This window comes from Homo sapiens, chromosome 16 (assembly GCF_000001405.40).
Source record: "Homo sapiens chromosome 16, GRCh38.p14 Primary Assembly".
In the NCBI taxonomy this organism is placed as follows: domain Eukaryota; kingdom Metazoa; phylum Chordata; class Mammalia; order Primates; family Hominidae; genus Homo; species Homo sapiens.
The window spans coordinates 87,457,067-87,468,280 of record NC_000016.10 but is presented as its reverse complement, the minus strand read 5'-3'; the positions used below and the strand labels follow the sequence as shown (position 1 = coordinate 87,468,280).

At 48.6% G+C, this 11,214-nt stretch overlaps 1 protein-coding gene and 1 pseudogene across 4 annotated transcripts in view, besides 1 other annotated feature; one reads left to right on the top strand and one right to left on the bottom strand.

Moving 5' to 3' along the window:
• Nucleotides 1–11,214, top strand: part of ZCCHC14 (zinc finger CCHC-type containing 14) — an 86,777-nt gene that overhangs the window by 24,744 nt on the left and 50,819 nt on the right. For 3 of the 4 annotated variants that reach the window (XR_243401.4, NM_015144.3, XM_005255858.4), the window contains exon 2: nucleotides 8,150–8,273. Coding sequence is in view for 3 of the 4 variants with exons in the window: in NM_015144.3 (NP_055959.2) it covers nucleotides 8,150–8,273 (124 nt within the window). In the remaining variant the exon portion in view is untranslated. Of the gene's footprint in view, nucleotides 1–2,832; nucleotides 3,628–8,149; nucleotides 8,274–11,214 lie in introns of those variants that run through there. The other variant, XM_017023082.3, reaches the window with a different exon arrangement.
• Nucleotides 611–1,145, bottom strand: NR3C1P1 (nuclear receptor subfamily 3 group C member 1 pseudogene 1; annotated as a pseudogene).
• Nucleotides 9,909–11,108: an enhancer, noted in NCBI's record as "P300/CBP strongly-dependent group 1 enhancer chr16:87490779-87491978 (GRCh37/hg19 assembly coordinates)". NCBI's record gives its function as "activates an origin of replication core promoter dependent on BRD2, BRD4, P300/CBP, MED14 and CDK7 cofactors, with strong dependence on P300/CBP, by STARR-seq in HCT116 cells {active_cell/tissue: HCT116}" and the evidence as "EXISTENCE:reporter gene assay evidence [ECO:0000049][PMID:35650434]".

Here is an 11,214-nt window from a genome sequence, read left to right as displayed (position 1 = left end):
GTGGGATACTGAATACCACTATTTAAGGAAGAAACCTGAAATGGTTACGTACAGATGTCACCATCTGTACGTCTACCCTTCCTACTTTCAAAAGGCCACTTAAACTTCTTCATATAAAAAAACACATGAATCTTTAGAGAACACATACAAATAAATGAAGATTTACATCTAATAATCTATCTTAAATGTACCATTCTTAAGAGACAGAATCTTACCTTGAAATAGCCATTAGAAAAAACCGTTGGGCCAGGCGCGGTGGCTCACGCTTGTAATCCCAGTACTTTGGGAGCCAGGCGCAGTGGCTCATGTCTGTAATCCCAGCACTTTGGGGGCCAAGTGCAGTGGCTCACGCCTGTAATCCCAGCACTTTGGGAGGCTGAGGCGGGCGGACCACGACGTCAGGATATTGAAACTATCCTGGCTAACACGGTGAAACCCCGTCTCTACTAAAAATACAAAAAATTAGCCGGGCGTGGTGGTGCGCGCCTGTAGTCCCAGCTACTTGAGAAGCTGAGGCAGGAGAATGGTGTGAACCCGGGAGGCGGAGCTTGCAGTGAGCCAAGATCGCACCACTGCACTCCAGCCTGGGCGACAGAGCGAGACTCCATCTCAAAAGAAAAAGAAACCGTTCGACCAGGGAAATTCAGAGTCCCCAAGGAAGTCAAGTTGTCATCTCCAGATCCTTGACACCTATTCCAATTTTCAGAACCAACGGGAATTGGTGGGATGACATTAAAAATAGGCTTCTGATCCTACTGTTGAGAAAGGGATGCTGTATTCATGTCATAGTGGTACATCTGTCCTCCAGAGGTACTCACACCGTGAACAGAAATGGCAGACATTTTATTACCAATCATATTTGCTCCAGGAGAGCTTGCCTGACAGTAAACTGTGCCCAGTTTCTCTTGCTTAATTACCCCAGGGGTGCAGAGTTGGATGAAATCTTTTTCTGTTTTCGCTTGGGGCAGTGTTACATTATTGAGGCTTGATAAAAACCAGATCTCCATTATCCTTAATTTTGGGTTTAGTGTCCGGTAAAACGAGAGGCTTGCAGTCCTCATTCGAGTTTCCTTTTAAAAGGAAGAATAGTCTTCTCCCGCCAGAGGAGAAAGCAGACAGTTTTCATCTATCAACAGGTCTGATCTGGTGGAGGACCACTTTTGAGGCCAGGAGTTAGAGGTCAGATGGGGCAACATAGCGGGACCCTGTCTCTTTAGTAAAAAAAAAAAAAAAAACAATTTTTTTTTTTCATGAAAAACACGTGACCTCCAAAGTGACTGTGAGGCTTTTCCAGGGCTTGTTTTTATGTGGCATGCTGATGTGAATACTGTTCAGGTCCGTATTTGTAAAGAAACAAGGTGAGGAGGGCAGTGGCAGGCTGCCCCTCTGGTGGGCACGGTTAGATGTGACTGTCCCAGTAGGGGCTCCTAGCCATGGAGAGTGGAAGCCATCACAACTTCACTTTCTCCAGCCTCTAACTGGGAATTGAGCATTCCCTGCCTTTATGGAAGCAGGCAGGAATCCACAGTCATACGAACAGTACCTGTGACTTGGTCACAGATGCAGTCACAGATACTTTGATTGCACAGTCGTAGAAAGCGTCTTCAAGTCTCCTTCATGCTCAGCGCTCCTGTGAAGTGAGCTGAGACCCACAGACTCTGTTCGAGGAGCCCATTTGTCTTCTAATACTTAGATGACGGTTTTCAATATAATTGGCTTTGTTTGCAGTCCTGTGTATTTTATGCATTTAAAATATGTTTCTTAGAAGGGCTCAGTAGGTGTCATCGAACTGCCAGAGAGGTCGCTGGCACAAAGAAAAGGTTAAAACCCTGCTCTAAAAGCTCACTGCCGTTTTTCTGAGCAGTTTTCAAATGCCCACCAGTGGGGTGCAGCGAGTCTTCTGCAGACCGAGGCTGCCGTCAGTGTTGGGGGGCTGTGCTTCCATCTGACTGCGTCAGCACGTCCCACTTGGATGTCTTTGGAAGAGCTTTCAGGAAATAGATTTTTAGAAATTAATTCTCTTCTAAAAGTTATGGTCAGGTCCGTGAACATTAAAGTGGGTTGTAAGCACAGAGCTGTAAAGTAGCCTGTGTGGTGCTGGGTTTTTTTCTGTCAGGCGGCATGAACTAAGGACAAACCTTTTTTTAAAAAAAAGCGTAAATACCTGAGGCGGGGGGTAGTTAGCGGGGGTCACAACCTGCAGCCAGCGTCAGCTCTTCTGCAGGCGTAGCTCCTCACCCTTGCCTGGAAGGGCCTTTGATTCCCTCTGGTCTAATTGCGCAGTGCGGGGATTCCCTTTTCCATCCCATCTAAAGGGACGTTGCGGAGACCGGGCTCGGTGGCTCACGCCTGTAATCCCAGCTAAGGCGGGAGGATGGCTTGAGCCCAGGAGTTTGAGATCAGCCTGGGTAACATGGTGAGACCCTGGCTCTGTTTATTTTTTTTTAATAAAAAAATAAGAGGAGGCTGTTGAGCCTTTGACTGTTTTGATCATGGTGAAGATTTACCTTGAAATATTCATGCAGCAGCATTATCATGTGGGAGCTGGTTAGAAATGCAAGATTCTCAGGCCCACCCCGGACCTCATGAATCAAACCTGCGTTTCAGCCAGATCCGGAGGCATTTTGCACATTAAAGTTTGGAAGCAGAGGCCTCCTCTCTTTAAACTGTAACAGTAAGAAGGGTGATTGCATAAGAGCCAGAGGCGGGCTGCCCAAGTCCAGGTGCCCCTAGATGTGTGGCCACTGTGGAACCTCAGTCAGCTTTCCTGGAAGAGCCCCAGGGGCGGGTGTGCCCCGTGACTACCAGTAGCTTGCTTCAGAGTCATATTTCATTCCTGGGTTAGCGCTTTGTAGATGTGGTGGAACAATCTGATTGTCTGTTACATAATGTAGATTGCAGAAGTTTTTGTTTGAAATAGAAGTGCTTTCCGTTTGATTCTGAATTTCATTAAAATTTGGTGATATCATGATGTATTTTACAGATCCTTATTAACGGCCTGCTTCATGCCAGGCCCAGTTCGAAGTGCAAAGGAACAGCAGTGAACAAAGCAAACCAGAAACACAGCTGCCTTGCTGAGCATCGAGAAGTCTTGCTAAGAAGGACGTTTGAGTATAGATGGGAAGGCACAGGGGCGCTTCCAGGCAGAGGGGACAGCCAGGGCGAAGGCCCCAGGCAGATGTGACTGCTGTGCCCAGGGCAGCAGTGCATGGAGTGAAGAGCTGGGGGAGGACTGGATGCCAGGTTGCAGGGGCCAGGCAGAGGGTTTTTGTGGGTTGTGGGAAGAGGCTGGCTGTGGAGAGGAAGAGAGCAGCTTATCGTTGCCTTCCTAGCAGTAGCAGAAGGCAGCCTTTGGAGCCGGTCAGTCTTCCCTCTCGTGCACATCAGGCCAGATGACGAGTCCTGCGGGTGAGCCTGAGTCAGAGAGCACTTGAGTGGAACATAGGTCACGTGGAGCAAACTAACTTCACCAAAAATAACCCCAAAACAGCATTTCTGGGAAACACAAGTGAAGACAGCTTTCAATGTAAACAAAGGAACAAAGTTACGATAAAGGCTTGGTTGGAAAAAGTGAACATGTGGAAAACTAAGAAGAAATTCCTTGGGAAAATATACGGAGGAAAACAGGTCTTTCTTTTCCAGCAGTTGCCATTCTAAAGAGTTTTCCTTCCTGTCTTGATGTCAGATGCAGTGTGTGTTTTGCTAGGGTGGCTCACGGGCTTTCCCCTTCCAGTTGTGGTTGTGGCAGACGGACCTACAGCCTTTAGCTCTTCCTGTCTGCGTGGGGAAAAGACTTCCTGTTTTCTCTGGGTCTCCTCTTTGTCCTTGCCGGGATTGGACCGGATGATGGGTGCAGTATAAAACCTGGACTTGGGGTCGTGGTTGGTTCTTAGCCTAGCTGCAAATTAGAATCACCAGAGAAGCTTCAGGCACAAAACAAAAGAAGCCCCGTTTCCAGAAACTCTGATTTTGGTGGGGAGTGTGGGATGTGGTTTTCTCAGGGCCTTGGTGTTCCAGTGTGCTGTCGAGGCCGAGAAGCACTAATCAGTACTGCTCTCCTTCTCTCCAAGGCTGTGTTTTCCCCTGCTCAGCCCTCCTCTCCCCTTCCTCCCCTAGCAGGCTGAGAGTTGGGAGGCTGGCTTTCCTTTGTGTCTCTTTGGAGTGTTTTAGGGTGGGCAGGCGGTGTGTGTGTGCGAGAACGCACTGATCACACGTGTTTCTTTTTGGGGCAGGAAGGTTTGCCACTACCAGCAAAGTTGGAACTGCTGATGCTGGTTGTCAAGGCAGCTCACTCTCAGCTGTGCGTGCTGGTGTGCACCTGTGGTCCCAGTTACTCAGGAGGCTCAGGTGGAAGGATCACTTGAGCCCAGGAGGTCGAGGCTGCGGTGAGTTATGATTGTGCCACTGCATTCCAGCCTGAGTGACAGAAGAGACTCTGTTTGTTTTTTTTTCTCCTGAGACGGAGTCTTGCTCTGTCACCCGGGATGGAGTGCAATATGGTGTAATCTCAGCTCACTGCAACCTCCACCTCCCGCGTTGAAGCGATCCCCCTGCCTCAGCCTCCCGAGTAGCTGGGATTACAGGTGCCCGCCACCACACCTGGCAAGTTTTTGTATTTTTAGTAGAGACGAGGTTTCATTCACCATGTTGGCCAGGCTGGTCTCGAACTCCTGACCTCAGGTGATCTGTCCGCCTCGGCCTCCCAGAGTGCTGGGATTACAGACGTGAGCCACCGTGCCCAGCTGAGACTCCGTCTCTTAAAAAAGAGAAAAGGCAGCTCACTTTCTCTTCTTAGAACCAGGACTTAGAATATGTACCAAAGTAGCTAAGAGAATGTGGAGGTTCATGCATCAGGCCAAATCGAATGGGCTCTGCTGTGGTTATATTTCTTTTGTTTTCTTGAGACAGGGTCTCGCTATCGCCCAGGCTGGAGTGCACTGATATGATCATACCTCACTGCAGCTTCAAACTCCTGGGCTCAAGCGATGCTCCCACCTTAGCCTCCCAAGTAGTTGGGACTGCAGGCACAGGCCACGACACCCAGCTAATTTTTGTGTTTTTGTAGAGATGGGGGTCTCAATATGTTGCCTAGGCTGACCTTGAACTCGTGGCCTCAAGTGATCCTCCTGCTTTGGCCTCCCAAAGTGCTGGAGTTACAGGTGTGAATCACTGCACCTAGCTGTGTTTCTTTTTTCTTTTTTTCTTTTTCTTTGAGACAGAGTTTCACTCTCGTTGCCCAGGCTGGAGTGCAATGGCGCAATCTCGGCTCCCTACAACCTCCAACTCCGGGGTTCAAGCGATTCTCCTGCTTCAGCCTCCCCAGTAGCTGAGATTAGAGGCGTGCGCCACCATGCCTGGCTAATTTCGTATTTTTAGTAGAGACGGGTTTCACCATGTTGGTCAGGCTGGTCTCAAACTCCTGACCTCAGGTGATCTGCCTGCCTCGGCCTCCCAAAGTGCTGGGATTACTGGCGTGAGCCACTAAGCCTGGCCTCGGCCGTGTTTGTTTTTTTTCTTTTTTCTTTTTTCTTTTTTTTTTTTTTGTGAGATAGAGTCTCTGTCGCCCAGGCTGGAGTGCTGGGGCGCGATCTCGGCTCACTGCAAGCTCCACCTTCCGGGTTCACACCATTCTCCTGCCTCAGCCTCCCGAGTAGCTGGGACTACAAGCACCCGCCACCATGCCTGGCTAATTTTTTGTATTTTTAGTAGAGACGGGGTTTCACCGTGTTAGCCAGGATGGTCTTGATCTCCCGACCTTGTGATCCACCTGCCTCGGCCTCCCAAAGTGCTGGGATTACAGGCGTGAGCCACTGCACCCGGCCTTGGCTGTGTTTCTTGTACAGTTAATGTGTTAACCTCCTGAGTTGTCTTGCAAAGTAATATGTACTGTTTGGAACTAAAAATCTCCTTGTGTAAGATTTGTATCGTACTTGTATCGGTTCTATTATCTTGTTTAGTGGGAAAGGAGTTCATTTCTGGGTTCTCTAACCATAGAATAATGAAAGAGACTTTGTTAAATCGGAAGGAAATCACCCAATTTAAATTACAAATATAAGAAATTCAAAAAATTTTATTTTCTTGATAACATGTTATTAAGTTATCCAAAGAATTGACTTTCTGGAGGAGTTGCTGCATGGCTAGGACTTTTTTTTTTTTTTTTACTTTTTTAGAAATTTAAATAGAGACAGGGTCTCGCTGTTACCCAGGCCAGTAACAAACTCATAGTTTCAAGCAGTCCTCCTGCCTCAGCCTCCCAAAGTGCTGGGATTATAGCCATGAGCTGCTGCGCCCGGCCTTATTTTCTCGAGTTACATAAACTTCCCAATTATGTAGCCCTGTGACAAGTTGCTTTTCTTGGAAGGCATCTGTTGAGCCGCGTGGGATCTGTTAGTCCCTCTCCCTGCATGAACAGCCCAGGAGGGCTTCTTGCTGGGGGGCAGGGGCATTGACAGAGCTGGGATCAGAGGATCTCGCTATGGACTTGGGTGTGGCCCCTGTGGCTTGCTGTCTGTGGAATACAGCAGGTGCTGGTCCTGCCGGAGTGGCAGCAGTCTCCACCCTTTCCTCCCAACTCCAGCTTCCGCCTCCACTTTCATCCTGTCTGAGGTCGAGGCCACGCCTACCTGGCCAGCCCTCTGCAGAGCGAGTGCTGGGATCTGTGCTTGTGAGTGAACTTAGGGGATGTTTTGGTCAACTGCCACCTACCGTCCAGGTATGAGATGAAAGAACAAGTGGAGGCTGGAGAGGTCAGGCCATTTTCCAGGCTGCTTGTGCCATGTACTTTCCCATACTGTGAATGCAGCATTGCTTATCAGCTCTTTTGATGAACTTTAAAATCTTACGCCTCTCATATCCTCCGAAATTTTGAAATACATTGAGACTGTAAAGAAGTTACAGCATTGGCCATTTTTATTCTTCTAAATCCTATAAGTTATAAATGTGTTTTGGCTGTGAAATTTTAAAATACTGATGGGGAGGGAATGAAGGTTATTGCTACCCCCCTCCTCTCGCCCCTCTGGGCCCCTTCCGGCTTATTCCACATTCACACCATCACTGAACCCAGGAAGCAGGAGGGGTGGGACGAGCCTGGCTAGCCCGTGGCTTGTTTCTGCGCTTGTTGTGTGTTGGGAGCACTGGTGGTCAGGAGGGCCTCCCCCACCCACAGCTTGGGGGCGGCCGTCACCTGCAGGTACACTGTCTGTGCTTAGCAGGTCTCTGTCGATGGGGACTGAGGGTGTGCCCCGCTTTCCCTGTCACAGACACTCCTGCAGTGGGCACACCCCATCAGGTCATTTTCTCACGTGTGAGTACTTGGTATGGTGAATTCCTAGAAATGGAATTGGGATGTAATTTTAGGATATGCTTTTTCAAACTGTACCCCAAATAGACCGAGTTGTATTCTGTTCTTTGCTGTTGTTTTTAAAGCATTTTATGATTTAAGATTTATAGAAGGAGAATGTTAAGTCCTGCTGTGTAATTCGTTTTATAGGGAGCTATTTGATTTGAAGAAATATGAAAATAAAAGTTTGCCTCAAATAAAAATATATAATTCATGCCACCTTGGCTAACATAGTTCCTTTTTTTTTTCTTGGAGATAGAGCCTTACTCTGTTGCCCAGGCTGGAGTGTAGTGTCACCATCTTGGCTCACTGCAGCCCCTGCCTCCTGGGTTCAAGTGATCCTCCCACGTCAGCCTCCCGAGTAGCTGGGACTATAGGCACTTGCCATCACGCCTGGCTAATTTTTGTATTTTTAATAGAGATGGGGTTTCACCATGTTGGCCAGGCTGGTCTTGAACTCCTGGGCTCAAGAGATCCACCTGCGTCAGCCTCCTAAAGTGCTGGGATAACAGGCGTGAGCCACCGTGCCCGGCCTCTTTGGCTACCATAGTTTCTGTGCACCCGATGAACCCCAGCCACAAGACGTAAGCGCCCGTGTTTGACTCAAGTTATCTGAGCTCTTTTGCACTTTCAGTGGAGAGTAGTAGGTGAAATTTTCATCTTTCTTGGGGAAGGCTTATTATTATAATAATACATGTTTTGTAGAAAAATGGAAACCAAGGTAATTATGAAAGACTTAATTAACAAATAAAATTGTCCCCTATTAACTCCGTGGGAGAAAATAAGATGATTCTGTTTCTGTTCCCTCAGATCACTCCAAGAACTGAGGCCCCTGTCAGCAGTGTCAGTAATAGTTTGGAGAATGCCCTGCACACATCAGCACATTCCACGGAGGAGTCGCTGCCCAAGAGGCCCTTAGGAAAACACAGCAAAGGTGAGTGCACGCACGGGTTTCAGGAGGACGTCTGACGGACGGAGGATGGGCACACCCCAGATCCCCGTGAGGGCATTGTTAAATGCTTTCAGATCTTTCATAAATGCCAATCTTATGTGTATTTTTCTAAATTCTATAAGCAATACATGAATATGCTTTGGCTGTAAAAATCTCAATTATTGATGTTTTTTAAGGAGAAGTCCAGACGTGGTTTCTCACACCTGTAATCCCAGCACTTTGGGAGACTGAGGTGGGCGGATCACCTGAGGTTGGGAGTTTGAGACCAGCCTGACCAACATGAAGAAACCCCATCTCTACTAAAAATACAAAATTAGCTGGGCGTGGTGGCGGGCATCTGTAATCCCAGCTACTCGGGAGGCTGAGGCAGGAGAATCGCTTGAACCCAGGAGGCGGAGGTCGTGGTAAGCCAAGATCACGCCATTGCACTCCAGCCTGGGCAACAAGAGCAAAACTCCGTCTGAAAAAAAAAAAAAAATTAGCCAGGCCTGGTGGTGCACGCTTGTAATCCCAGCTACTTGAGAGGCTGAGGCAGGAGAATTGCTTGAACCCAGGAGGTGGAGGTTGCAGTGAGCCGAGATCGTGCCACTGCCCTCCAGTCTGGGTGACAGAGTGAGATTACATCTCAAAAAAAAAAAAAGGGTGGGAGGAATAAGTTTTACACCCTCCTCCCCACCCCACATGGAAATCATCCTTAACCACTAGAGCGGTGTTGTCCTGAAGCGCTCTCTGTGGTGACGGAGTGTTTTCCACCTGCACTGAGTTGGTTGTCAGCAGCCACACGTGCCTTCCGCGCACTTGAAACATGGCTAATGTGACTGGCTACCTGAGTCTTTATTTTTCTTTAACGTACACGTGGACAGCTCAGCGTGGGTAGTGAGGCGCGGCCTGAGCCCCTGTGGCTCTGCACGCCAGCCTCTGCCGTGTTATGATCAGCTGCAAAGTTGGTAACCATGCCATAGTAGTGGAGGCTTTGGGGAGGGGAGAGTAAGGTGGTTTGTAGGACTAGATGGACCAGATAATGCATACCCGGTAAAATAAATGCTTGTGTGGTTTGCAGAATCGTCAGTAGTGGGGAGACAGAGACCAGGGTGGCGCTTTCCAGTGGGGTCACTGGTCCTGAGCCCCCATGGCATAGAGGTACCGAGGCCGGCTGTGTCCGCATCTGCTGGCCTCTATTCTCCCTGTGTTATTTACAAAGATGTTTGTCTCCTAGCAGGTGCGCCACGTGAGGCCCAGAGCCGCACTCGCTCACCCTGTGCGCTCTCCCCCAACCGCCCCGCACCGTCCCCGTCCCTGGCACGGCGCTTCGTGCCTTCCACAGGCTTCATAACTGCTTTGTTTCTAAAGTCCCGTTCTGACAACGCCATCGAGAGCCACCTGTCTCTGATTTAGATCCTAACTCAGGAAGGACCCATTTCCCCAGCAGCTGCAGCCTCTGTTGATGTAATGAGCACGGTATGGTATGGAGACAGTAACTCCTTACTGCAGCCCTGCGAGGGCTCCTGTCCCCACTTGACCCTCGTAGCAACCCCCTGAGGTCGCAACAGTCTTTGTCTTATCCACTGCTCTTGGGAGGGTCTGTGGCTCTTGGTTGAGCGTCTTCACCGCACCCTCATCCTGGTGATGCCGCGATGCTCCAACCCCAGAGCGGACACTTGGCGTCGGAATTGCAGGGAGTCCCTCCGCTGTAGAAAGGGCTCCTCCTCTTCCTTCCCCCATGCCATCCCAGGAGAAAGGCCTGCCGTGGAGTGCCGCTTCCTTTGTCCCCAGACAGTCCAGCCTAGGAACCTGTGCCCTGCACACCCTGTGAATCTTAAGGGATGGACCCTTCAGTGCTTTTTCTTCAGGATGTAATTATTGACATCCCCATTCTTTTTTTTTTTTTTCTGTATAATTTCAAAGTAGCGAGTATCTGTCATTGTCTCGTCTGCATGCTTTGGTGCCCAGAGAGACAGAGGGTGAGCTGACTCTCATGTGAGCTGTGGCAAAGCCTGCGTAGGCTGGCGGGTCGGCTCTGAGGCCACGAGTGGTCATTCTCAAACCCCACAGTGCTTAAAATACCGCAGCGAGCAGACGCTCTTAATTACCTGCAGCATTCTCCATTCATTAGTCATAGAGGGTCGCGGTTTCTGTTGTCCGGAAATTGGCAAGTGAGTTAACTTGGTTTTCTTAGTCACTTTTCATGTGAATCCTTTTAATATTCTGTTGGGTGCAGGTTATTGCCCTTCAGAAAGTCTAAAGTCACAGTAAGTTGTATAGTTTTATTACTATAAAGTTTTCTCTCTGTCTTTTCTGTATCCTACTTCTGTTTTGGTTTTTCTCTGCTTCTTCAGAAGTCTTACAGTGATACAGTTTAATTTATAGAGTGGTCAGACATTTAAAAAATTTCTTAGTATGTAAAAGGTTAGGGAAGCTTTTATATACTTGAACAACAGTCCAAGCACATGACTAACTTACATGACAGATACTGACTTACATCATCTTCATAACAGCCCTTTGAGGGCTGATTATACCTATTTAATTCTAACTGATCCCATGTGGTGATTTTTACCCCATTTTACAGATGGGAGAACTGAGTCACAGATAAGAAATTTTCCTGAGGTCAGCTGGGATTCAAAGCCAGAGCTAATGCTCTTAACCCTGTGGCTGGCTGAAGAAAATAGCAGAGGAAAAGAAAGGTGGGACTGTACTGAAAGTGGAAAACACACCGTTGTGTGGGCAGTGCCTATGAGTACACATTAACCAGTGAAATCATTCCTTTTTTTCCTGACCTATTTATTGTGAACATTTTCCAGTTCAGGAGTAGAGATTGTAGCCTAGTAAACCCCGTACCCAGTGCCTGGCTGCAGCTCCAGGTCACTGTGTGTGGCTTCTGAGCCCCCTGCCCCTCGTGGGTGTGGCTGAGAACTGCGGTGCACTC